The sequence below is a fragment of the Homo sapiens genome, chromosome 5, assembly GCF_000001405.40.
Source record: "Homo sapiens chromosome 5, GRCh38.p14 Primary Assembly".
NCBI classification, from domain to species: domain Eukaryota; kingdom Metazoa; phylum Chordata; class Mammalia; order Primates; family Hominidae; genus Homo; species Homo sapiens.
In genome coordinates, this window is record NC_000005.10 from 133,899,013 (window position 1) to 133,925,616 (window position 26,604).

Below are 26,604 nucleotides of genomic sequence, written 5' to 3' on the forward strand. Positions count from 1 at the left end.
AGTGGGCGGTACCAGACAAGATGCTCACTTGGGAGCCTCTGGGGAAGTCGGTTAGAGGGTAGGCAGTGTGCACACCTCCTATCTCCAGGTCTTATTGCCTGCCTGGCTAGGACTGCAGGGAAAGTTCTGCAATCAGGGGCAGCTGAGATGTTCCTGGAAACCAGTGAGGATCACAATAGGTGCAATGGTCATGATAACGGCAGTGGTGGGAGTTGATGTTGACTGAGCCCTCCCTGCATGCCAGGCACTGTGCCACCTACTTTCAGGGCCTCACTTCATGTAACCCATACGACAGTGCCAAGAGATGAGTGTTATCATCTTCACCTTGCCTTTGAGAAAACTGAAGTCTAGAAAGTTCATGCCACTTGCCCAGAGGTGGCACCAGGATTGACCCTCTTCTGAAAGAAGCGCCTGCCTTATTAACCTCCTGCGCTGTGGTGCTCTTGGCCACCCCCACACCCCGCCTCTCCCTGGCATCTCATCTTTGTCCCTGTACTCTGGCCTCTGCTCTTCTCTCCTGTCCTCGCTGCCCTCCCTGGTACTTTCTTTCTCCCCTCCCCTGAGCAGGACCCCAGATCTCATCCTGACCTCAGCCAATAGCCCCAGCTGTGGATCCCACATCCACCTCAGAGGCCCCGGCCTGGCTGCTCCCATCTGCAGCCTTAAGCTGTGCTCCAGCTGGAATCCACAGGTGGACAGGGCCTCCTTCCCCTGAGTAGGAATGTGTCACTGAGCCATGCCTTCTGCAGGCGTTTGGTGAGCATGTGCTGTGGCCAGCGTGATGCCAGGCACAGGTGGAAATCCCACCAGACCACAACCCTTTTCCTCTGGCCTGTGGTTCTCAGGCTGCTCTCTGATGGAGCCTATAGGCACCCTGACACTCTGTCTTCACCAGTGAACCTCCTCAGGCATATGGTTACACCAGAGTCAGCTCTATGCCAAGAGTCAGAAGTATTACTGCCACTGACACAGGTGACCTCTTGTCCCAGCCAGAGATCTCCTGCGGATGCAAGAGACGGAGGTCAAAGGCAGGTGCCGGGCCATGGTGAGTGACTGCTCCATAAATGAGGGACCACGTAAGTTCTCAAATGCAAGAATGAGTATCAGGGAGAGGGGCCAGAATTGCCTTTTCTCGGGTATTTATTGAGGAGGAATGCAGAGAAGTCCCTTTCTTGAAGGAGGCAGTCACAGAGTAAGCCTTTTATCTCTGCAGCACTCTGTGATTTGCAAAGTTTTGCACGTCCATTATTTCATTCTCATCTCTCACAAAAACCCAGTGGATGAGGCAGTCCTGGGAATATTGTGCTGAATTTACAGATGAAGAAACTGAGGCTGAGATGGGAAGCAAATTCCTTAATATAACACAATTAGCAAGGGACAGAGACAGTGCCTTCCCTTCCCCACCACTACCACCACCACCACAAAAAAAAAAAAAAAAAAAAAAAAAAAAAATCAGGTGAATTTCTTAGGCCCTGTCTTCCTGAAGAGAGTACATGGCTGTGGGGAGGGGGTCTTTCTATGTCTAACTGCCACATGGCAGAGCTGGCTGCTTCACATGCAGAGGAAGGACACTTGTCTGCATTTCTGAGCTGGAGGGGTCATTGCTTAGGGCTTGGCAAGCAACCACGTGTATCTCTAATCCAGATCTGGGAGGGGGAGACTAATTGCCATTTGTGACCAACCAACTCTCAGCAGTGACCAAGCTCCTCCGTGACAAATTACGGTGCCTATTACTCCCTTGGCCCCGAGGCCTCCTTGGTCTCAAAGTAAAGTTCTGAGTGCTGTGGTGGCCGGCGCTAGGGCCCCTGCTGCGTGGCCGGCACCGCCCCTCCATGCCCCATGGGATGGAGACGCTAATTTATTCAGATATGTGACAGCTAACAGGCTTATCTAACTACAGTAAAATCATTTTCTGAATTATTCATGTGATATTTGAAATCATGATTGTAGGAACAAATTAGCTACCCAAAAACTGGAAATGAAGGCTGCCTCATTAATAATGCATTGGGCAGGGCAGGCAGGATAGCAGGAGCTCGGAGGACTTGGCTCTGAGCATACTGATGGGGGGAGCTCCATTTCCAGCAGGCCCTTCCAGGACAGGCATCACACATGCGGCCTCCAGCAAGAGTGCGTGAGTCTGGGCCACTCCACGCATGTGTTTCCTCTTTGAGGATGGGTGTGTTTGGCCCTCCCGGGGTCCCTGCTTTTCTCCTGTGGTGTCCCCAAGGCTTACCTTCATCTGGCCAGGAGTGCTCCATCTGCCCCTCTGACCCTCTGCCTGCCCAGGTCATGAACGAGCTGACTTCACATCACAGAGGTGAGGGAGACTTGACACCGGCCTCTGAGGGCGTCTGGCTGGGAGACCTAGCACCTTCCCTGATGAGCAATTGGATATCCTTCTCTCGTCCTGGGGAAATCTGCCTGTGGATCGTGGAATACACAAGACCTCAGAAGTCACAGGCAACTCAGGCCAGTTCTCACAGTGGTTGTGGTGAAGCAAAGGCAGCACCAGCAGCCAGTCTCTGTGACTTTTTATAATTGGAGGGTGGGAGGCAAGAGTCCAAACTTCCTTATCTGTGTTAGATCTGGTTTCTCAGGCTGTGCACCTAAGGTCTTGGACAGGGGGCTGTGGCACGTCAGGGCCTCACAGCTCTGCCAGGCCTGATGGGAAAACCTGGGCAAGTCAACAGCCTCTCTGGGCCTCAATTTCCGCCTCTGGCAAATGAGATTAGCAGGACCTGATGTCATAGGATCATTTTAGAAGGAAATACATGAGAGCCCAGTTGAGAAAACTCTTCAGAAAGTATCAGTGTGTCACAATGTGTCATCAATGTGGTAAATCAGTGCTGCCAATTCATTTATCCACCTAATTACACTCTAATTGTTCCACAATAATTAGATGATTATAACAGTAATATCAGTCATAATCTCTTTAGCCACATCTCTAATGCCAAGTTCTGGCCCTTTGAGATCTGGAGACCCCTCTGGGCTCATGTCCTAGGTCTCCCAGGCAGTCCTGGACTGGCAGCATTTGAGAGGGCTTCTCCCTCCAGAGAGGCTGCCTACTGGAGGTTGGTTTAGCAGGTTGGATGTTTCCATAAACAGAGGTAAGTACAGCCTCAGAAATAATAGGGGAGGTGACAGGTCCAGCTGTAACATGAAGTTGCTAAGGGCCAGGCACGGTGGCTCACGCCTGTAATCCCAGAACTTTGGGAGGCCGAGACGGGTGGATAACTTGAGGTCAGGAGTTGGAGACCACCCTGGCTAACACGGTGAAACCCCATCTCTACTAAAAATACAAAAATTAGTTGAGTGTAGTGGCAGGTGCCTGTAATCCCAGCTACTCAGGAGGCTGAGGCAGGAGAATCGCTTGAACCCAGGAGGCAGAGGTTGCAGTGAGCCGAGATCACACCACTGCACTCCAGCCTGGGTGACAGAGGGAAACTCAGTCTCAAAAAAAGAAAAGAAAAGAAAAGAAAAGAAAAGAAAAAGAAGTTGCTAGGACCCCACTAGAACCCACACTCAAGAGTAAAGCTAGAGCCCTGGCAACCCCTCCCAGGATAACGTCAGAGCAAGCTGGCTCCACGCCCATGACAAGAGTGCAGGGGTTAAGATATGGAAGAAGAGGAGGCACCACATGCTGACGGAGGCATTCAGACTGGAGGAGGGCCTGCAGCCTCCAGGTCTGACAGTGGCCTTCCAGAGGGCCCCAGGGGACAGAGGCTTTTGTGCTGCCTGGAGCGACTTCATCTTATCACTGTCTCCCACCCGCCATGTTCAGCAGCATCCCCCAAGCCTTCTGCCAGATGGTAGCTCCTATGCGCCCAATGGCCACCTCCTGGAGCCTCGTCAGGCCAGACCCAGCCACAGTGAGCGCGTTAGACACCCACAGACCTGACAGCAGTGCCATCTGCCAACACACAAAAGGGTGAGAAGTCAAGATCCACCAGGAGGCCACAGGCAGAAAGGAGCGGTTTAAATGCTCAGGCCCAGCTTCTCAATACATCAAGTAGGATGGTGCCCCTGCTCCCAAAGCACGCAAACAATTTCCTCATTTTTTGTGCAGGCAAACAAATACATTCCTTAAAACATTAATGGCAAGAATGTATTTGATAAGCAGATTTTAGCTACTCTTGTCACCAATATAAGCAACTATGTGAGATTTGTTAATCCGCTTCACTATAGATTTGTTAATCTGCTTCACTATAGTAACCATTTTACTACCCGTATGTATCCCATGGCATCGTGTTGTAAACCTCATATATGTGCAATAAAATTTATTTTTTAAATATACATATTATTACCTTGGGAAAAAAAGCATATTTGAAATCCACAGGGATGGGCAGAGATAGTGTGGGCATTTGCCACCAAGGTGACTGAAAGACAGAATGTAGGCCAGGCGCGGTGGCTCACGCCTGTAATCCCAGCACTTTGGGAGGCCGAGGCGGGTGGATCATGAGGTCAGGAGATCGAGACCATCCTGGCTACCACAGTGAAACCCCATCTCTACTGAAAATACAAAAAAATTAGCTGGCTTGGTGGCGGGCGCCTGTAGTCCCAGCTACTCAGGAGGCTGAGGCAGATGACGTAAGTAAACCCGGGAGGTGGAGCTTGTAGTGAGCCAAATCGTGCCACTGCACTCCAGCCTGGGCGACAGAGTGAGACTCCGTCTCAAAAAAAAAAAAAAAAAGACAGAATGTAGTCACCTTGTCAGCTCTGCCAGCCTCGACCAGACAGGTGATGCTGAGCTGTACTGTGACCTCAAAGTAGCTACATAAACCTTGGGGGCTTAAGAAGGTTGCTAGAAAAACAAAGAACTGTTCTTGAATTCAACCCAGCAAAGGCTTGCTGCACACCCACTGTGCACCCAGGTTGCTGGAAGCAGAGATAGAAAGGGAGAGGGTCAGGAGGAGACAGCCCCTCTCCACAGCCCTTGCAGACTCCAGTAGAAGCCAGATGCAGCTACGGTCAGGTGGTCTCAAGAAGGCCTCCTCGGCTGACCTTCTCTGCTCCAGGGTCTCTTTCCTGATACTGCCCTCACTTCTCCCACCTAGCTTACTCCTCCTCATCTTCAGAGCTCAGCTCCCTCGCCACTTCCTCCGGGGAGCCTTTCCTGACTTCAATGACTGAGTCGACCTCCACGCTAGGCTCTCCCAGCACCTCGTGTGTGCCTCTGTCTTGGCATTTACCACCACTATAAATTCACATGTGCTCAGGTGATGAACAGAGGCTGAGCTCCATCAGAGGAGGCTTCACATTTGCCTCACAGAACATACTCAGGATACACTTGCTGAACAAATGAGTGAAGAGTGAGTGAATATCTCTTGGGTGCCTCTCTGGGGTCCAGAGCCCAAGTGAAAGATTTCCAAACTGACTACAGATAATAAGAACAAGGGCAGCTGGGTGTGCTGGCTCACGCCTGTAATCTCAGCACTTTAGGAGGCTGAGGTGGGCAGATCACTTGAGGTCAGGAGTTCCAGGCCAGCCTGGCCAACATGGTAAAACCCCACCTCTACTAAAAATACAAAATTAGCCGGGCGTGGTGGCACATGCCTGTAATCCCAGCTACTTGGGAGGTTGAGGCAGGAGAACTGTTTGAACCCAGGAGGCAGAAGTTGCAGTGAGCGGAGATGGCACCACTGCACTCCAGCCTGGGTGACAGAGCAAGACTGTCTCAAAAATAAAAACAGCAAGGGCAAACGGGCCACCTCCTATGGGGCCCTCAGTTCCAGGCACAGAGAAAAACACCCGGGAAAGCCTCGTGCCTCACTCCAGGGAACGGACCACGTGGGGGTGGAGACGGAGGCCAAGAGGTCTCCGGCTCAAGTGCCCAGTGAGCCTGTCCTGTAGAGAGTCCTGCCAGGTGGACCAGGAGCCAAGAAGGCTGCAGCATTCATCCCAGAAACACACTGGTAGGGGCTTCAGACTTTAGGAAGAGCAACCAGCCAAAATCCGTGAGCTGTCTTGAATTTAAAAACAGAATAAGGGCCTGGACCTTACCCCTGACAACTCAGTATCAGCCCATGAGGTATAAAGTAGGTCACTTCCTCCCTGGTGCAGAGGTGCTGTGTATTTTTATAACTAGGTTTGATCATCATCAAGTGATGAGCTTATAACATTGTTGTCCCTTAGGGCATGGCCTCAATTTATGAGCCTTATTTTTAACTGGAATGGAACAGGGCTGGATCAAACGCTACTAATGTGTTAAGATCCCCTGGGCGTCACGTACGGTGTGGAGTGATCGGTCCAGGTGGGTGGTCTGGCCATGCAAGGTAGGGCAGCGCCTAATGACTCATGCCTGCTGGGTACCTGGGCATCCTCAGGGCTTTTCTGTGGGGCATTCTCAGCTCCGAGTCTACCTCCTCCTGCTCCTCTTCCCTTCAGGACTTTATCATCTCTAGGGGCCTTCATTGGCTCGAGAAGCAAGCTGGGCTTATCAAGTATTAGAGGCCACAAAGGATAAGAGGCCTCGCCCATGGTCACCTGGTGCCTCGGTCAGAGCTGGAGTCCAGCCCTAACCCAGGGTCCACTACTCAGGGTTTCTGATCCTACAGAGGCACTGGGGCCTCCAGCAAAGGGAGCATGCAGCCTGAGAGACAACAGCGTTCTGAGGCTGAGCACTGCATAATGCAAGGGCGATAAGAACAAGGACAGCAGGGCCCCATCCTGCTGGGATCTCAGCACCAGACACAGGGGAGGGAGGAAACGCAAATGCCCAGAAGGCCTCATTTCACACGCCGGTGGACCATGTGCACCAGAACTTGTTTTGCTCTCCTCCTGGGCCCTCAGTTGCAAGGCATTTCCCAGCTGCCCTTGTGGCTAGAGGTGGCCATGTACCTGGGCTCTGACCAGCAGAATGTGGGCAGAAGTGATGGGCTTGCCAGCCTGGCCCATCCAAACCTTCCACGGGAGATTCACCCTGCTGCTTTCCACTCTGGCTGGAATGGAGATGACCCCTTAGTGATGGGGGGATCACTAAAGTCAGAGGGGTCATGACACAGAAGGGGGCCTGGGTCCCCAAATCACTGCCTGGAGGAGAGCTGCCTGACCAGGGTCACTCTTACTAGACTGGGTGTGAAAAGGAAAGATACTTTATAGTGTTATTGAGCTCAGCTACGAAGATGGCAAGGATTTTCCATCTCAGCAGCAAGTATTTGCCCTGATAGACCCCAGGCACTGCAAGGGACTGTGACCAGTAGCTCCTGGTCTCCTTTCCCAGCTCAGCTGGCTGCAGGCCCAGCACTTTAAGTCACGTTTCCTTCACAGAGTGATAGTTGAGGATCAGGGACCTGGCGAGGGTCAGACATCAGCCACACAGAAAAGGAACAGACGCCCTTGTGGGCTCTGTCCTGGCCAGAACCTTCCCATGGGTAGAGACACTTTGGCTCCAGGTTGGGCCTCCCAGGCCCATGCACATCTCATGGCAATGGGAGGTGGGCGGTCCTGGTGGAGACTACCTGCCCCTCTAGAAATCTGGCTCACCATGCAGCATACCCACTAAGGGACGCTCAGAGTCCTCACCTATCAAAAAACAAGCCAGCCCAGAGGGCTGCTGATAGCGTTACCGGGAGAACTGAGTGATATGACAAAGGAGGAGATGGTTTGAAAAGTCAAATAAGGAAGGGTCTTTTTCTCTGAGGGAATCTCTATCCTGGAGGAAGGGATCTTGCTGTGGCTTCTGTCTTGGTGATGATGTTGACTCACTGCAATCAGTGATCAGCCTGAAATGTGTCTAAAGCAGGTGTCCCCTTGCTCGGAGCAGCTCATGGCTTTTCTGTGAAGGAGAGTGTGAGCACTAGCTGTAGGACTTCAGCCTTGGCCTCTCTGACCTCAGCCACAAAGGGGGAAGCATATTGGTGAGGATTAAATGAGGTGCTGCACAGAAGGTGCTTTGCACACAACAAGCACTTACTAAATGTTAGCTGACATGCTTAGAAGGAAGTGGAGAAGAGGGCGGGACCAGAAGACCCTGGCTGAGGCTGTAGAAGCCCCTGGACCTCTGTACTCTTCCCTCTTCCAAGCCACAGGGGCAGACTGCCGAGATCGAGCCCGCAGGCCTGGGGCTCGAGAGCTAAATCTTGTCAGACAAAATGACTATCCAGCCCCTGAGTCGTAGCTCTGAGCAGCCACGTCCACAGTGGGGAGCCTGCCTGCGCAGGGCTCCATGTGACTCCAACCTGCAGAAAGGGCCTAGTGGGGTCCAGCCAGGCAGATGGACTAGAGACCCTGCTCTGTGGGAGGCAAGACCCAGCCACAGGAGGTTGGGCACCAGCCACAGGAGCGCCAGACTGCCTCACAGTCAAGAGCTGGCGAGAAGCCCACTGTGCTGAGGGGAAAGCATCTGGAAGACCGAGATGGCAGGCCCTGAGCTTGGAGCAGGTGCAGGCTGCGCTCACAGGGCACAGAGGAAAGCCCAGAGGCCTTCCACCTTCCCCCAGAGGCCACGGCCTCACATAATCTCTGCAAATGGGCCACGGGGCCCCTAGCAGCATGCTAAACAGATGAAGGCCAGGCCAACGAGAGAGGCACCAAGGGCATCTTCAGAGGCCACCCTGGGAGCTGCACCAGAGGGACCACCATCTCCCTTAACTCCGCTCTCACTGAGCCCCAGCGTGGGTCACCCAGGGCCAAGAGTTACTACTCTGAATTGTTATTCTAACTGCTCCTTTGTCCCTAGGCTTTCGTTATACCTGGAGAACATCTCCATTTTGTGCAAAGAGCCTGACCCTCCCTGCCCTCCCTTCCCATGGCTCACACTTGCTTCTCCCATTTTGGTTCAACTCAGGAAATATTTCATGGTGCCCACATTCAGAGGCCTGGGAATTAGCGCCCCCTTCTCCACCTGGAATCTAAACCAGTTGATGAATAAGACACTAAAGCAGGTAGGGGACCAAAAGGTCACCTTTATTTCTAAATAGCCTGAATTAGAGACCATGACTTGTGTCTAAGGGCAAATGGCTTTCTCCTCTTCTACCTCAAAATGAAGGAGACTGTCCCATCGAGTCAGGTGAGGACACGCCATAGGACTGAGAACAGTTAGGAGCACACACTGTCGAGAAGCAGCCCGGCTCCCAGGACCAGGAGGAAAGAGATGGGCAGGTGTACATGCCCCTTCCTGTCCCACACCTGTCAGCCAGGAACAGCCAGAGTGGGGCAAGAGGCCAGGAGCGACCGGGAAAGCAGAGGTGTGGGAAGTGCTATTCCCCTAACATCATGGCATAGACAAACACAAACAAGCCGGGGGGAGGAGGCACAGAGCAGGGGTGGCTAAGAACACAGGCTTTGGCCGAGTGCGGTGGCTCACACCTGTAATCCCAGCACTTTGGGAGGCTGAGGCGGGTCAATCATCTGAGGTCAGGAGTTCGAGACCAGCCTGGCCAACATGGTGAAACCCTGTCTCTACTAAAAACACAAAAAATTAGCCGGGTGTGGTGGTGGGCACCTATAATCCCAACTACTCAGGAGGCTGAGGCAGGAGAATTGCTCGAACCCAGGAGGTGGAGGTTGCAATGAGCCAAGATCATGCCACTGCCCTCCAGGCTGGGCAACAAGAGTGAAACTCAGTCTCAAAAAAAAAAAAAAAAAAAAAAAGAACACAGGCTTTCCGAGTAAGGCCTGTGTTCCACTCTTGGCTTCACTAGCTGTGTGACGCTAAGTTTCTTAGGCTTTCTGAGCCTCAGCTTCCTCCTCTGTAAAGTGAGGATAGCCACACACCTGCCTCACGGGGATTCTGAAAAATCAAAAAGATAATCCACACCAGGCCTTAACCCAATGTCCTGTACGTGATGGTGGTGGCTGTTATGGTGGTCATTGAAATTATCTGAGCCTCTCCTTCAAGGCCTCACAGTCCAGGAGGCAGGTGGTCACAGACAGGACATCACCACACAGGAGCAGAGCTGGGTGGCTGGACCCATGCTCAGCTGGGCCCATGTGGGAGGTGCCATGATGGAGGGTTGGGTCTGGAGGCAGCAGCGTGGGGCAGGCGTCTGGGAGAAGCCATTATTTCAACTGGGCCTTGAACAGTAGATGGGAGCCAGGGGTGTGGTTGGGGCAGTGAAGGAGGTTGCAGGAAGGAGAAGGATGAGGGAGAATTCCAGGCAGGAAACAGCATGGACGAAATGGGGACAGGTTGAAATTAAGGCTTATTAAGAGCCTAGGAAGCAGCTGCTGGCAAAGGATGGGTTCATGTTGGGTGGGATAGAGGAAGCTATGGGAGAAGCGGTAAGAAGGTGGTTCTGGCCCACCTTGAGATGGGCCCCTGCTGGGATTCTGAAGCCAGGGGGAGCCAGTGCTGGAGGGGAGACATTCACTCAGTACGTGCCAAGCTCTCACCACCCTAGCACTGATGCACAGTGAACAAAACAGATGAAAACCCTGCTTCGTGGCAACTACACTCCAGTGGGACAGACAACAATGAGCAAAGCTAAGAGGACAAAACACGGATCATGTCAGTTACCATCGGAAAGAGAAAGTAGGGAAGGGGAGTAGGTGGTGTCGAGTAAGGCTCACAGAGAGGGTGACAGCTGAGTAAAGACATGGTCAAAGCTGCATGCTCAGGAGTTTGCTTAGGTGATGATATAGTGAATGAATAGGAGACAGGGGAAGCTGGACAACTGGGGCCACACTGAGGGGCTAGGGCAATGGTCGGGTTTGGGGAGCCCTGTCCCCCTGCAGGCTGAGCCCAGTGGCTCCCCAAGCTCACAGTGGCAGGGTGGGTGGGTTCTATTCTTAGACACACTCCCGGAACTGAGCTGTGAGGGTTACTTCTAGCAGGCCTGGAATTCATCTGGGCTGTCTTACTAAAATAAGGGCTGTACCTACACAGTGCTGAGCCCTGGTCAGGTTGAGAAACTTATGGATTAACAGTGTTGTTTTCCGGCCATGGAGCTGCAGGGCAGTTTGTACCAGCTTGATGCATTGTTTATTGATAACAGCGAGATTGATGACTTGCACCTGGTCTCAATGAGGCCCCCAAAGGGCACTTCCATTGGTGTGGTACCCTGACAAGAAATAGGCATATGTGACCAGCAGGATATCAGAAGCCCCGGCCAAGACTGCATTTCGGGTTTCCCGGTTCTGGGGCATTCCGTTCTCATGTCAGTGGTTCTTGATTCAAGAAATTGCAGCCAGGATGCTCTTTCACAGGGAGGACAATCAGAGTTCACGCCCGGCCTCTTCAGACTGCAATGAGGCATTCTGGCAGTGATACAATTCCTGACTGTAATGCTATTGCTGTCTTATATCCTCTTCTTGCAATAAACCATAAATGTGTAAGCACTGTCATTTGGGTCCTGTGCATCTTCTTTATCCATCGAACCCTGTCTAATTGCCACCCTCAGTGCTTTCTCTAGCACTCTTCATGTTTCAACCGCTGGGCAGGGTTTCTCTGCCTTTCTAAATTAGATCTTAGAACCAGGCCACCATTGCAGCCTCTTTTAAATTTGTCTTTCACTTTGTACTCCAGAACCGGTCATTGTTGGTGAGATGGGGCTCACTCAAAATTTGGAAATGTTTCCAAATTCTGTGGGGGAGAAAGTTTTTCTGAATTAAAACTTGTGGTAGTGGAGACTTGAATTTCAAATCAGATTTTCTAACTGAATTGAAGGCTATGCAATCAAGCAAATGAATGACTAATGAAATGATTATAAAGCACTTTGCAGAAATGTTATGTAAATGCAGGCAGAGAATAACAAATGTGATGACAGTCACACTGCCATTGCTTCTGATTTGGGAGAGTGCAGTTCCGAGTCCTCCTGCAGGGACGCCAGGCGTTGGTATTCAAAAACACCTCATTGTCTTGACAGCTCTGAAGCTGGGCCCTTTGGGAAAAGTTGGGTATCCTAACCAGAGGGCTTGGGAGTTGCCTGTAAGCCCAGGTGTACACTGTGTCCTACTCGGCAGGCAATTGAGACGGCTTCAGGCGGGGCTGCTGGGAGAAGTTCTGCAGCATGTCAGGAAATGGTCCCTCCAAGACCCCCCTTCCCCAGCAAAAGTGACCTGCGGTGGCAGTTAGACAGGGCTCAATGGCTAAACAAGACACACAGGACCAAAATGACAGTGCTTACAAGTCTACGGTTTATTGCAAGAAGAGGATATAAGACAGCAATAGCATTACAGTCAGGAATTTTATCACTGCCAGAGTGCCTCACCACAGTCTGAAGGGGCCAGGCATGAACTCCAATTGTCCTCCCTGTGAAAGGGCACCCTGGGTGCAATTTCTTGAATCAAGAACCACCAACATGTGCACTCAATGCCTCGGAACTGGGAAACCCGAGATGCATAGATTTTCAACCTCTTATGAAGCTCAAGAATATCTGCTCACATACCTGCGCAGGGGGGAGCAAGGACTCTGCTACCCATGTCCTAGGTTGGTCCACGTTCATTACAGAAATGGCCGAGGCCCATGGACTACAGGGGCATACAACACTGGGGAACTAGAACTCACTGAGCAGCCAGACAGAAGAGTGGACCAGGCATAGTCGTCCCAGTGGTTTTAACCAGAAAAGGCTTCCAGGGGAGGTAGGGGTCAAGGAGGGCCGGTTAGAGCCCAAGCCAGCTAAGCTTCTTGGAGGGACACTTCTAGGGGATGAAGGAGTGAGAGTGGAAGGTTTCATAGAGAGGGTCAAGCATCGCCCTGCCCACACTGCTTGTTTCAAAGTGCAAAGATCCCATGGCTGGAGTTAAATGCTCCCCATGGTTGGGATGCTGCCTGTCCCTGTTCTTCACAGTTCCAGGCTGGGGATCCACCTCTGCCATGTAAGATGGAATGTGGATCCGCATGGCCAGGTCTGTACACCATCAATCAGATATGAAGCAACTCTGGGGGCTACCCCATCTTACTTCCTTCCACTCTGGAATTATTTGTGCTAGAGGGTACCTTGGAGCAGTAATTTCATATACCAACAATGTCCAATCAAGCACTGTAGAACTGCTGTTCCACAATTAAACTCTGTAGCCATAATTTGTTTATCAATAAAATGTAGGCCAGGTGCGGTGGCTCATGTCTGTAACCCCAGCACTTTGGGAGGCCAAGGCAGACAGGTCACCTGAGGTCAGGAGTTCGAGACCAGCCTGGCTAACATGGTAAAATGCTGTTCCTACTAAAAATACAAAAAATTAGCCAGGCATGGTGGTGCACGCCTGTAATCCCAGCTACTCAGGAGGCTGAGGCAGGAGAATCGCTTGAACCCGGGAGGCGGAGGTTGCAGTGAGCTGAGATTGCGCCACTGCACTCCAGCTTGGGCAACAAGAGTGAAACTCCGTCTCAAAAAAAATGTAAGGCCAGGCATGGTGGCTCATGTCTGTAACCCTAGAACTTTGGGAGGTCCAGGTGGGAGAATCTCTTGAGCCGAGGAGTTCGAAACCAGCCTGGGCAACATAGTGAAACCTTGTCTCCACAAAAAGTTTTTAAAAATTAAGCGAGTATGGTGGCATGTGCCTGTCATCCCAGCTACTCAGGTGGCTGACGTGGGAGGGTCGCTTAAGCCCAGGAGGTCGAGGGTGCAGTAAGCCATGGTGGTGCCACTGTACTCCAGCCTGGGCAACATAGAAAAACCTTGTCTCAAAAAATGAAAAATGAAAAATTTTTTTTTGAGAAGGAGTCCTGCTCTGTTGCCCAGGCTGGAATGCAGTGGCGCAAACTTGGCTCACTGTAAGCTCTGCCTCCCAGGTTCACACCATTCTCCTGCCTCAGCCTCCCGAGTAGCTGGGACTACAGGTGCCCACCACCATGCCCGGCTAATTTTTTGTATTTTTAGTAGAGACGGGGTTTCACCATGTTAGCCAGGATGGTCTCGATCTCCTGACCTTGTGATCTGCCTGCCTCGGCCTCCCAAAGTGCTGGGATTACAGGCGTGAGCCACCAGGCCCAGCCAAAACGTAATTGTAATTAAGTTTACTTTCCAAAGAAGAAAAAACACTCAGAATCCAAACAGGACAGGTGGAATCAAAGGCTTCTTCACAAAGATGCGTGGGGTAATGCGGAACCCCTTTTCTTAAGAAAAGTTTCTGCTCAGAGGGGATCCTGGCCTTGCTGTTGCAGCTGTTATAAATCGTCCATGGGCATGAAAATGGAGATGGTCTTTGGAGGCCCGGGGAGAGATAAGGAGAGTAACAGACGCCACAGAGGCCATGCTTGGCTGTGGGTTGCAGAGATCTCCATCCCGATTGGAATAGTAATTGCTTCATTGGATCATTGCTTCGAAAAATAATGCGGTGGGGGAGCAGAGGCAGCCCGCTGTGAATTCCAAGCAGGAACATACTGAACTGCTCCAGAGAGAGGGAACTCTGCAGCAGGGAGCGCCTGGAGCCAGGAGTCCACTCACCCCAGCAGGAGGACTCTCCAACAAGAATTCGCCACTCCTGACCTGGAATGTGGAGATGGGAATGGCCAGACGGGCCCTGGACCTGGTGAAGGATGTCAGGACACTACAGCGTCACTGCTCCTGGTGGCAGCCACCATCTCTTAACCCCTCAGGGAGAGTTAAGATTCAGGTCAGCACCTAGAGCAGCTACCTCAGAGTACTTAATGCCAATCCCTGGGCAAAGAACTTCTACACTAAATTCCATTCTGTCGTCACCACGCTGGGAGGTGGACATTACTATCCTCATCTGACAGACAAGGAAACTAACACTACAAGGAGATTAAATAGCATGACAAAGTCTCCATCCTGGCTGAACTTTGGATAAGATCTACGTTTGGGATTCTTCTTGGTGATGGATGATGCCTAGACCAGCCCCAGACACCCTCCCAAGCCTAAGCTCCCCTCTCCTGTTCTGACATCCCCATCCCACCAGGAACCCAAGCTTGTGGCCATCGTGCCAGGAGGACTTCTTCCAGGTTTTAGTATAGCCTGAGTGACCTCTAGGAGTCCTTGGACCTGAGCTAACTCCTGTACAATTTTGGCCGGTTGTCTGGTTAATAAATTAACAATTGGTAATGATAACAGCTAGCCAACATTGTTGGTTATATGCCAGCCACTAAGGTAAGCATTATCTTATATGGCCCTCATAATCTCTCTATAAGGTAGAGTTATATAATCCCCATTTTATAGAGGGGGAAACTGAGGATTAAGCACGTGAGTCACCTGTGGGAAGGCAGAGTCTGGAATCCAGGGGGTTCGATTCCAAGGTCCATGCTTTTAACTCCTGTGTTTTTTTGCTCAGTTTCAGAAAACCCAGTTCACAGAAATCTGATACTTTAGAGATAAATTATTCACATAACAAAAGGATCTTTTACCTTGGGGAAGGATTCAGCTGGACTTTGAGCATAACTTCCTTCGTGCATTTAAAATGTGACCTGACTTAGGATTTTTGGTGTCCTGCCCATGACCTGATGAGAAACTATATTTGTCCCCAGGCTTCTTCAGCTGATATCCTTCTTCCCCTACAGGGAAGGAGGTCAAATCTAATCCTAGGCCTGGAAATGCTTGGCCAGGGCCTGGTGGTGCCCAAGCCCCTCTCAGGCTGGGCTTTGGCTTCTTGGGGCCAGGCCTTGGGTATAGAGGCCACTGCCCACACTCAGGCCCAGACAAGCTTGGTGACCTTGCATGGGCCACTCCGTGTCTCTTGCTCTGCCGCATGTAACCCTGGTCATGCTGACTTGCTCTTGCTGGGGCTCCCGGGTGTATCTAATAAATGATGTAAAGCACTTAGAGACATAAGTGCTCAACTACTGGGGCCATAAATTACCAGGGATGGATTCCTGAATGTTATGATTATGTGCTTGTGCTTGTTCTCAGTAATGAATAATTATCCTTTTAGTCCTGCAGCCACATCCAAACATCTTCACCCCACAGGACTAGAGGAGTCACTGACCCTGACTGCTGGGCTCCTCCGATGGTCATGGGCAACAACCAAATGCAAAGCTTGGTCCCTGATGGACACCAGTCTGAAGAACCTTTTCTATAAGGCACGTTTGGGTAAATTTGAACACAGGCAAGGTATTAGATGGTGTCAGGAAACTGTTAACTTTGTTAGGTATAATCATGGCATTATGATTATACAGGAGTTTGGTTTTTTTTTGTTTTTTTTTTTGAGATGGAATCTCACTTTGTTGCCCAGGCCGGAGTGCAGTGGTGCAATCTCAGCTCACTGCAGCCTCCACCTCCTGGGATCAAGCAATTCTCATGCCTCATCCTCCCAAGTAGCTGACATTACAGGCATGCACCACCACACCCAACTAATTTTTGTATATTTAGTAAAGCTGGGGTTTCACCATGTTGGCCAGGCTGGTCTTGAACTCCTGACCTCAAGTAATCCACTCGCCTCGACCTTCCAAAATGCTGGGATTACAGGATACGCCTGGCCAGGAGTATCTTATTTTTTTAGAAGTGCATGTTGAAATAGGGGTAAAATACCTGTCATTTATTTTTAGATACTTTAGGAAAAAAAAGATGAAGCAAATACTGCAAGATATATACATTAGCTTAATCTAGGGATAGGCATATGAGTGCTCACTACATCATTTGCTCTGCTTTTCTATATATGTTTATATGTAATTAAGTTTAAAAACAAAACCAGCAAAGCATGATGATTTCAGAGACGTGCTCTGGCTAAGTTACAATTCCCTCACAAGTAACAGGCAGAGGGAGATGAGCCATTTTCAGAGAAAGTGTATCCCGGCAGGGGCCAGAAGCATGGGGCTCACCCTGGTGCCCAGATCCAGGAGAACAAGCTCCTGGGATCTGTTTCTAGAACTATCCTCCCTTGTCGCACCCCAGCCACCACAAAATTTAAAATCTAATCCAAGACTAGTCACGCTACTTCTGCTCACTTTTCTACTCTTGATATCATAGGACTGTAGTCCCTCCTTCTGGAGGCTATTAATGTAAGCCAGGAAGTAGCTACTAACCATGCATTCATTTATTCATTTGTCATGGTTTTGTTTAGTGTTCCCTATATTCCAGGCCAGGTGAGGAATGAGAAATGGCATTTTAGTTAAGGTCTATTTGTACTACTATAACAAAAACACCTCAATATGTATAAAGACTCAAACACTAATAAATGGTGGTTTATTTCTTGCTTATAAACGAGTTTAAAGCCAAGGTCCCAGGTGGGTGGACAGCTGTTCTCCACTCAGTGATTCCGGGACCCAGGATCTTTCCATCCTGTGACTCTGCCATCTCCTAGGACCTTGTGGTCATCAGCCAGCTGATAAAAGGGAAAGAACTTGGCCTGGAAGCAGCATGTATATCACCTTTGTTCATATTCTATTGTTAAAATCTGGTCTCACACCCATGCTGAGATGCATAGGGATGAGGGTGCAAGAATAGAGGCTGGCTGGAAAATGCAGTTCCTGGATAGACTTTCCATCTACAACTCTTTGCCATGGCCAGAGGAGAATGGATTTTGGTAGGGAGTCAGCCATCTCTGCCACACATGACTTAAGCCCTCTAGAAGTTTACAGACTAGTGACAGAGTCACTGCAGTTTAGAGCAAGGTAATTTGTCCACTAGGGCAGGTAGAAGCAAGTCTAGTAGGACCCCCAACTCTGTGTCTGGCCCTATGCTCAGATGTGCTGCAGGGGAGACCAAGGAACTTCTGGGAACCTGCAGACTTGCTGGGACTCTAATGCATAAAATCAACAGAGACAGCCCAAAGCAGGGGGGTAAACACTGAACAGTGCCTAGAGCAAAGATGAGAGTGTATATTTTTTTGAATAGAGGAACTGTATCTCTGTGTTAACCACTAAGTCCTTAGTGCTCAGCATGGGAACTAACATAGAGCCAAACCTTAAAAGTTCCCTGCCCACTCGAGCTGTCTGGGAAGATGGGACACAGAAGGGGAAAGTGGCAGCCCTGAGTGTTCTGTGGCCTTCCTTAGAAAGAGTATTAGGGGGTGGAGGGTTACTAGATTATAAGGGAACTAGCTTAAATAAAGGCCTGGGGATGGGGGTGAATACATCAAGCACTAGGAACAACAGTGATCTCCCTGGTCAGAAGGTAGCAGGGGTGTTTTGAGGACCAGGGAAGGGACCTGGTCCTTTTCCTTCATGACATATCACCGGTAATTTTATATTTATTTCCATGCCTACTTCTTTAGAATCTCCTCCTGCTCTAGACTGTGCGCATCCTAACGGCAGCAGCCTGCCTGTCCTGTGCGCCACTGTGTTCCCAGAGTCCTCAGCAGGCCCTGGCCCACCTAGGTGCTCACTGAATGAACACACAAGAGAATGAATGTAAGGCCAGCTGGTGGGACAGTGAGCGTCTGCCTGCACAATGAGGCTGCCCAGGGGAGGAAGGTACCCCCTACATGTGTATCTACTCTGCTTGGAGCTTGATTTCGTTTCCAGCCTGACCTTCTTTTGTTTGCTCATTAATTCAATATTTGCTATGTTCCACCAAGGGACCTCAAGAGGCATAAAGGTTTTCCTTCTCCAGTAAAAGCAGCTTGCATTTGTCTTAAATTACCTCAATTACCTCATGGTGAACCCCATCTTTCTGTCCCACACTCTCCCCCACCTCCAAGACCCTCTGAAAGCAGCAACACGCTATGGTTCCCCTCCATGTCTCCAGAGAAAATACGAGGACTTCCCTGACATTGACTGGGGGAAAAGGGTGAGCAAGAAAACCTGGGGTTCCTCCAGGGACTCTGCTGCTGCCAGGTCTCCTTTAGGAGACATTTAGGCCCAGCTGTGAGCTACTCATCTGCTTTCTCATCCCCCAGAAAGCAAATGTTGGAACTTTGATGTATTTGAGAATCATTTTTTTACCTTAATTAGAAAATACACATTTGAACGGCATCAAACATTAATGAGACTTGCAGGGGGGTCGCTTATAAACAAACTTATTACTATGTTTAAGAAAAGCATGACTGAGCCCTCTCCTCAACTGTCTGACTTTGTTGCTCCCAGTCCTTCTGGGCTGGTCAATGAGGAGCGCGCCTGGCAGCCACATTCTGTAAAGCCAGGCTCTGGACAAGCCCCTGCTGATGGCTTTGCTGCTGGGCCAGGGACTTACACGCCTCTTTCCACTCTGACAGTGGACCTTCTTTGTTGTCCATTTATCCTCATATTGATTTTGCTATAAAGCCACACGGCACTCCCTCCCCGGCCAGAAGGAGAAACCTCCATTGATTGTATTGGAATAAGGTTTGTTGTAAAGAAGCGAAACGCCTAAAACATTGAAATGAAGTAAGCTCTTTGAAGGTCCATAAATCACCCAGGATAATGCCGCAAATGAACAGGGTTCCTTAAACACCTGGAAAATACAACCCCATAAAGCAGTTCTGACAAGAAATCACAGCCCCTCTCTCTCTGTAGCTGCCATTTGAAAAACACCATCAATAATGGTTATTGCTGTTTGGTAAGCAAAAGAGGGAAGTTGTGTCAGTCTCCTTGAGAAAGTTCCCTCAAAGTCACTTTGCCCAAATGGCAGCGTGGCGTTTTTCGCGCAGTAAATACATCCCAATTATGAGCATGTCATGTTAGCTTTTACAGTTCACTAATCACGAATTTTTTGTATGTCATTGCCAACCAGCATCTTTCCCTAATCGGAATTTATGGCTCTGTTTGGCAGTGAGTGGAGATAAGGAGGGTCATAGCAGTTTCATTTTTCCAGAGCTGGAGGCCTCAGCCAGGTTTGGGGCCCAAGGTCATGCCCCCTGCCCTCCTCCGGTCTGAAGGTCAGGGTCCTGCGCGCCTCAGGGATGGAGGTTGGGGGCTTCTGTGGAAAGCTCTCCTCTAGATTCCCGGCATCCCTGTGGCCCAGGCCGCAAGGCCGGACTTAGGTCCCCTGTCCTGGCTCATCTCTGTGGACTCACCTTCCCAAAAGTGCTAAATCACTAAGCGAGCAAAAATACTCAGCCAAGCCTGGAGCCAGACCCATCTCCACAGGGGATTCCCCCTGGCTCCTCTGAGCATCTCTCCCCTCGGTCAGACCCGGGCAGCCACCAGGGTGGGTTTGCCTCAAGGCCGCATTCTCATCCCCTCAGGGCTCACCAATCACGCCCTCCAGCAGACGCCCTCACCAAATCAGGTGGTACTCTCTGGGCCGCTCAGCGTCATACTCAGCATTCAGACTCTCCTGGCCTTTCCAGCCACCACAGGCATCTCCCTGGCCTTGCAGTTCGGCCTACAGCCCTGCCCTATGGGGGGCTGCCCACAGCCAGGCAGTTTCAGAACTGGCAGGGGCGTGTGTAGCTGTGATGGCCCCCGCTCCACACCAGCTCCTCGGCATTGCCTTAGAGTTGTCCCCAGGCCCCTCCAGTTATGTGGCCCAGGGTGTGCAGACCAGGGAATAGCGGACACAGTCAAGCACAGGGTGCCCTTCCACCTGGGGCAGGGGGGCTGTCAGGCTGGAGCAGCAACCTCTTGTGGAAAGCAGTCTCACAGACTCCTGGGTGCAGGGCTCCAAGCAGGCCACCCCAAATCTGGGGGCTGTGCCAACTATTCTCTGACCCTGGTTAACACCACCGCACTACAGCACCAGCCAGCAGGACACAGGGCTGCACTGGATGAAGACCTTAGAGGATCCAATGGTAATTTCAAATAAAAACAACAGCAAACCAGTTGTGTCAGCAGTCAACACCATTCTGATTTCCCCCATGGCAATGGCTTTGATGCTTTTTCAGTCAATTTTTTTCTTGGAGCCTGTGTAGGTTTTCCGGGCCTGCCATAGCAAAGCGCAGTAGCTCCCCCTCATTCACAGTTTCACTTTCCAAGGTGTCAGTTACCCACGGTCAACCACAGCCTGAAAATGTTAAATGGAAAATTCCAGAAACAAAAAATTCATAAGTTTTCAGTTGCGCACCATTCTGAGCAGCATGACGAAATCTTACACCGTCCTGCTCCATCCCACCTGGGATGTGAATTATCCCTTTGTCCCAGGTGGGACAGAGCAGGGCAGTGTACATTACTCACCTTTTACTGCATAGGAAAAGGCAGTGGATATAGGATTTGGTACTATGCATGGTTTCAGGCCTCCACTAGGGGTCATGGAACATGCAAATAAGGGGGGACATGCAAATAAGTCCCTGCAAATAAGGGGGAACTACTACGAGCTAGATGGCTTGAAACAACAGAAATTTAGCTCTCACTGTTCTGGAGGCCAGAAGTCCAAAATCAAGGTGTCGCCAGGACGTGCCCCCTCTGAAGGCTCTACAGGCGAACGTTCCTCGTCTCTTCTAGCTCCTGGCAGCTCAGGAGTTCCTTGGCTTGTGGCTGCATCCCACAAATCTCTGCCTCCGTCTTCATCTGCCCTTCTCCTCAGTGTCTGCATCTTCTCCCCTTCTGTTTCTTATAAGGATAATTGTCATTGGCTGTAGGGCTCACCTGGGTAGCCCAGGAGGCTCTTATCAAGATCCTGACTGTAATTACATTCATAGGTTCCAGAAGATGGACATGTCTTCTGAGGGGACCTCGTTCCGCCACCACAAAGCCTGTGCTTTGCTGGTACCTACTCCATGCTTGGTTCAACCATTCAGGTTGATGATTTGTGACTGCCCAAAGGTCATCTCTATTTGTCATGACCACCATCACCAGAGACACTACCTTCAAACAGTGAACAATATGGTGCAGAAGATGTCTCCAAAAAACCCATTCTATAAGAACTAGGTAGGTACGTGCTCTATGCCCAGCCTTTGCAGAGACAAAAGAAAAAAGAAGTAGGGCTTCTTGGAAAAACAGCTGAGTCTGGTTGTACAGCAAGTGAAGTACAGGTGTACCTGGAGTATCCCAGGTCAGAAAGCAAGGGAAAAATCAAAGACCAGGGAGTCATGTCTAAAAGACACATGTGCCAACAGAAAGGGGGTCCCATGGGCCAAACTTGGGACAACTGCCACATCAAAAAGAATAATGATAAGCATGGAGAGTCTAACATATTTAATGAAAAAAATAAATCTCTGAAACCACAGCAATACTCCACAAAAGGAGACCAGGGAAGGAAGAAAGGAGAAAAAAAGAAAAATCTCTTTTTTATCAGAGAACAGCAACCAATAAATGTAGAAGAAATGATCAAATTAGAAAACTGAGTCCATTAGGAATCATGAATAGATGCTAAGCCTACTGGGAGAAAGGATGCTGGGGAACAGGATCTCAGTGCACCACCCACAGATGACTTAACATTTATGAAGAGGAAAATGTGACTTTAGAGTGAAGGGATGTGGTGGTCACCACGCCAGGGTAAGGGTAAGTGTGTGGGTGTCAGAGTTGGAGCCCGGTCTGGAGCTGGGATCCAGGCAGGACAGGTTAGGTGTGGGATGGGGGACTAGTCATGGATCAGAGCTGGGACTCAGATATATTCTGGAACAGAGCCAAGGCCACAGGACCCCGGCAGGGACAACACTCACAGCCTCAAGCCCTACACCACAGCACTGGGCCCCGGCTGGCAGAGCTCTGACTTGGCCACCACCTGGTTTGCTCCTAGTGCTTCTTGCAGGGCTGCAGCATTTCTTTAAAGAGTAACGGGGCTGGGCGAGGGGACTCATGCCCGTAATCCTAGCACTTTGGGAGGCCAAGGTGGGTGGATCACCTGAGGTCAGGAGTTTGAGACCAGCCTGACCAACATGCAGAAACCCCATCTCTACTAAAAAAAACACAAAAAAATTAGCCGGGCCTGGTGGCGCATGCCTGTAATCCCAGCTACTCGGGAGGCTGAGGCAGGAGAATCACTTGAACACAGGAGGCAGAGGCTGCAGTGAGCCGAGATCGCACCACTGCACTCCAGCCTGGGCAACAAGAACGAAATTCCGTCTCAAAAAAAAAAAAGAAAGAAAGAAAAAGAGTAAGGGGCATTTCCCACCAGGCCTAGATACTGGGGCAGCTCATTCAGGGACTAGGAGTATTCATCATCTCTGATCTGCAGGGCAGCGAAATGACTCTTTGCAGTGCAATTTTCCTTAAGAAGGCCCAGGGGCAAGTGTCCTGTTCTGAGCCGGGAGGGAAGCAACTGAGGCACGTGGGGCTGGGATATGTGTAACCCCCACTGCCCAGCCACTGACCATGCCCCCTTCCCTCTAGGGCCCGCAGCACGTCTTCTCCTGGCTCTCCTCCAGGGAAGACCTCACCTCGGCTCCTTCCCTGCTCCATCCTCCCGGTCACAGACTCTCCCCTGCTGGGCATGAAAGCAGCCATCTGTCCTTCTTTGGCCTCTGAAAAGCTCAGGTGCAGGCAGTGTGAGGTCTGTGTCAAGAGTGACACAGGAGGTACAAATGCAGGTAGTCGGCTGTAGTCAGGTACTGTTTTTTCTGCCTCTTTTAACATTGTCTCAGGGCTTGTGACCAGCTCTGCTTCTTTCAGCCCTGGGGGCATACAGAGCTCTAGCTTTTAATAATTATCCTGAATCCACCCAGCCTCAGACAAAGGGAGCCGCTGCTATGATAAATGGGTCTGGATGGTGATCATTTGTGACTTGTATTAATATTTACAACAATAACATTTTTCATGGGTAGAATTTTTTTGTCACTGCAGGAAATGAAATGCAAATTAACAACTGTAAAGATTATAACATAATGAAATAGGACATAAATGATAAAGAACTAATGAATTAAGTGGCTTCAAAGCATGGAGGGAAAATGTCCTTCAAAAGCAAACATGTATATACAGCAGGAGATTAATAATATGGGGAGAGGCCTCGGGAGCTCAGGTCTGGATTTTCCCCTTCCCAGGCGCTGACCTCTCCCACCTCCTTTTCTGACTCTGGCTTTACCACTGTCCACCCAGTTGCTTCAGCCAAAAAAACCTCAACACTCCATTCTCCCCGCAAGCCCCTCAGATCAATGTCTTCCCTCTTGAAGATTTCTGTTTCTCTTGAACCCATCATGCTGCCTATTCCTGAGTTCAGGAGCTCATTCTAATATCTGCCCTCCAGCCCACCTTTCAGGAGAGCCTCAGCCCCTTCAGTTCATCCCCATCACAGCTCTTGGGGTGGAAGGTACAGGCATGGTCCTGTCATTTCCACCCCCCACCTTTTTATTTATTTACTTATTTTTTGAGACAGGGTCTTGCTCTGTCACCCAGGCTGGAGTACAGTGGCACGATCTCAGCTCACTGCAACCTCTACCTCCCAGGCTCAAGTGATCCTCCCACCTCAGCCTCCTGAGTATCTGGGACTACAGGCGCACACTACCACGCTGGGCTAATTTTTGTATTTTTTGTAGAGACAGGGTTTCACTATGTTCCCCAGGCTGGTCTTGAACTCCTGGGCTTAAGTGATCCACCCACCTTAGCCTCCCAAAGTGCTGAGATTACAGGCGTGAACCACCACCCCTGGCCCCCACTCTTTTAAATAAATAAGGAAAATAACAAACCATCAAAAAAAAACAAAATGTTAAATTAAGTTTAGCCTAAAGTTGCCTCCTAACATATTTTAAGTTTGGTCTAAAGATTTCTCCATACATAGTAAACTATTCTCTAACTAAATATATAAACAGACTATAGCCTATCTTATAACAAGTAGCCAGGTGTGAGCCAATCACAACAGCCACATGTCAACCACTCACAAATGGCCAATTGGCAAACCATGTTCAAATAAGGCACATGCAGGGCCAGGTGTGGTGGCTCATGCCTGTAATCCCAGCACTTTGGGACGCCCAGGTGGTCAGATCACCTGAGATCAGGAGTTCAAGACCAGCCTGGGCAACATGGTGAAACACCATCTCTACTAAAAATACAAAAAGTAGCCGGGCATGTTGACAGGTGCCTGTAATCCCAGCTACTTGGGAGGCTGAGGAGAATCACTTGAACCTGGAAAGTGGAGGTTGCAGTGAGCCGAGATCGCGCCACTGCACTCCAGCTTGGGCAACAGAGGGAAACTCCATCTGAAAAAAAAAAAAAAAACAACAACAAAAAACACAAATAACAAATAAGGCACATGCAGAGCTGTAACCAATCCAGCTGTTTCTGTACCTCCCTTTTCCAGTCACCTCTGTTTTCTTTACCTCACTTTCCTTTTTCTGTCTGTAAATTCTCTCCAACTACAGGACAGCGCCAAAGTCTCTCTAAGCCTACTCTAGTGCCAGACGCTGCCTGAATCACAAATTATTATTTGCTCAATTAAACTCTGATACATTTATCTAAAATGTTTCTTTTAAAACAAAAAAAATCCTCACCAGGGATTCTCCATTGTTTTCTCCTCCATCCCTCTTTGCACAACCTCAGATAAAGGCGACTGTTGTATGATGTCCCTATGGAAAGAGGAGTCAGTGCCACAGAGAACAGGTGTTCAGCTGGAGGGCACAGCCTCAAAATGATGGTGGGGGAGGTTCTCCCCGTGTGGATGTGGGTACATTGATGCTTTGGTCAGAACTGTTTGAGTTGCAAATGACAGACACCCAGCTCAAGCTGATTTGAGCAAAACTAGGAAATTATTGGCTGATGAAACTAAAAGACAGGGACTTGGGGCATGGTTGAATGTGGAGCTGAAATGGCCTGGGACTCTGCCTCCCTCTGTGTCTTGCATCTGGCAATTCTGATCTGGTGCCAGCTGCTTACTTGGACTGGGAAAATGGCTACCAACAGCTCCAGACTCATTCCTCTCCCCAGCTAAGCACGGTAAGACAGAAGAGAGCTTGCTTCCTGTGCTCTGTGACTCTAAGTACCCTGGCTGTGCTCTGATCAGACCAACATGGGTCCTGTGCCTGCACCATGGGCAACACAGTGGCCAGGGGTGAGAAGAAGCCAGGAGGTTCAGCCGCCAGCATGAAAACCCTCCTGGCTTTCCTCCCACCTCCCTGGCGGCTTCTTTCCAGAATCTTTGTGGATTCCACCTGGCCTGTGCCACTGCTTATCACTGGATGTCTGAGGATGCAAGCTTCAGGCTTCCTCTGCGTTTCACCAGCAATCATCAGCTTGCAACACTGCAGCTTCCTGACTTCAAATGTCCTTCATGTGCTCCCCAATTTTGTATCACCAGCCCCAACCCACCCTGAGCTGGAGGCTCACTTGACAGCCTCGCTTGCATTTCTAAGGGACATGACAAACCTCACGTTTCCAAGGGGGAAATCCTGTCTTTAGCTGCAAGGCTGTTCTTCGTACATTCATCTGCCTCTCGATCAGTGGAAATGCATCCTCCCATTTGCTGATGCTGAAAGCCTCCTCACTGCCTCCCTCTCTCTCACTCCATATTCAAGTGGTCAGCAAACATTTCAAAATACATACCGTGTCGGACTCCTTCTGCCCCCTTTACCGTTTCTCACCTGGATTCTGCTGTACCAGCCTCCAACAGGGCCCCCTCCCCGCAGGCTGTTCATCACAACACAGAGTGCTCTTGTCAAAATGTGGGTGAGACGGTGGCATTTCTCTGCCCCATACCCCTCAATGGCCTCCCATCACCCTCTGAGCACCAGCCAAAGGCCCTACCTCAGCCCCCACCTCCAAATCCTCTCCTCTCTGCTCTAGTCACAGCAGCTTCTTGCTGCTCTTCAAACCCACCCACCAGTGCTTCTGCCTCAGGGACTCTGCCCTCTCCATTCCCTCTGCCGAGTTCCTCTCTCCCCTCCTTCAAGTACTTCCTCAGGTGCCACCTCCTCAGTTCTCCCCACTTCCATTCCGCCCACGTACACCCTGTCCCCTCCTCACTGTATTGTCCTCCCAACCATTCCAACTTTCTAATGCAGTGGATATTTGATTTTTATTGTCTTTCTTCCTCCACCAACATGTAAAGTCCA

At 50.2% G+C, this 26,604-nt stretch overlaps 1 long non-coding RNA gene across 1 annotated transcript, besides 5 other annotated features; it reads left to right on the plus strand.

Annotated features, from left to right (window-relative positions):
* Positions 658–1,158: an enhancer, noted in NCBI's record as "H3K4me1 hESC enhancer chr5:133235361-133235861 (GRCh37/hg19 assembly coordinates)". NCBI's record gives its function as "activates a minimal SCP1, AML or CMV promoter by ChIP-STARR-seq in primed H9 embryonic stem cells {active_cell/tissue: H9 hESC(primed)}" and the evidence as "EXISTENCE:reporter gene assay evidence [ECO:0000049][PMID:30033119]".
* Positions 2,072–2,571: an enhancer, noted in NCBI's record as "H3K4me1 hESC enhancer chr5:133236775-133237274 (GRCh37/hg19 assembly coordinates)". NCBI's record gives its function as "activates a minimal SCP1, AML or CMV promoter by ChIP-STARR-seq in naive H9 embryonic stem cells {active_cell/tissue: H9 hESC(naive)}" and the evidence as "EXISTENCE:reporter gene assay evidence [ECO:0000049][PMID:30033119]".
* Positions 6,152–6,653: an enhancer, noted in NCBI's record as "H3K4me1 hESC enhancer chr5:133240855-133241356 (GRCh37/hg19 assembly coordinates)". NCBI's record gives its function as "activates a minimal SCP1, AML or CMV promoter by ChIP-STARR-seq in naive H9 embryonic stem cells {active_cell/tissue: H9 hESC(naive)}" and the evidence as "EXISTENCE:reporter gene assay evidence [ECO:0000049][PMID:30033119]".
* Positions 7,767–8,267: an enhancer, noted in NCBI's record as "H3K4me1 hESC enhancer chr5:133242470-133242970 (GRCh37/hg19 assembly coordinates)". NCBI's record gives its function as "activates a minimal SCP1, AML or CMV promoter by ChIP-STARR-seq in naive H9 embryonic stem cells {active_cell/tissue: H9 hESC(naive)}" and the evidence as "EXISTENCE:reporter gene assay evidence [ECO:0000049][PMID:30033119]".
* Positions 8,268–8,768: an enhancer, noted in NCBI's record as "H3K4me1 hESC enhancer chr5:133242971-133243471 (GRCh37/hg19 assembly coordinates)". NCBI's record gives its function as "activates a minimal SCP1, AML or CMV promoter by ChIP-STARR-seq in naive H9 embryonic stem cells {active_cell/tissue: H9 hESC(naive)}" and the evidence as "EXISTENCE:reporter gene assay evidence [ECO:0000049][PMID:30033119]".
* On the plus strand, positions 14,665–18,257 carry WSPAR (Wnt signaling pathway activating non-coding RNA). Its single transcript, NR_131252.1, has 3 exons — positions 14,665–14,984; positions 15,763–15,910; positions 18,043–18,257. It is a non-coding gene; the product is annotated as a Wnt signaling pathway activating non-coding RNA (long non-coding RNA).
* Positions 18,258–26,604: the final 8,347 nt, after the last annotated feature.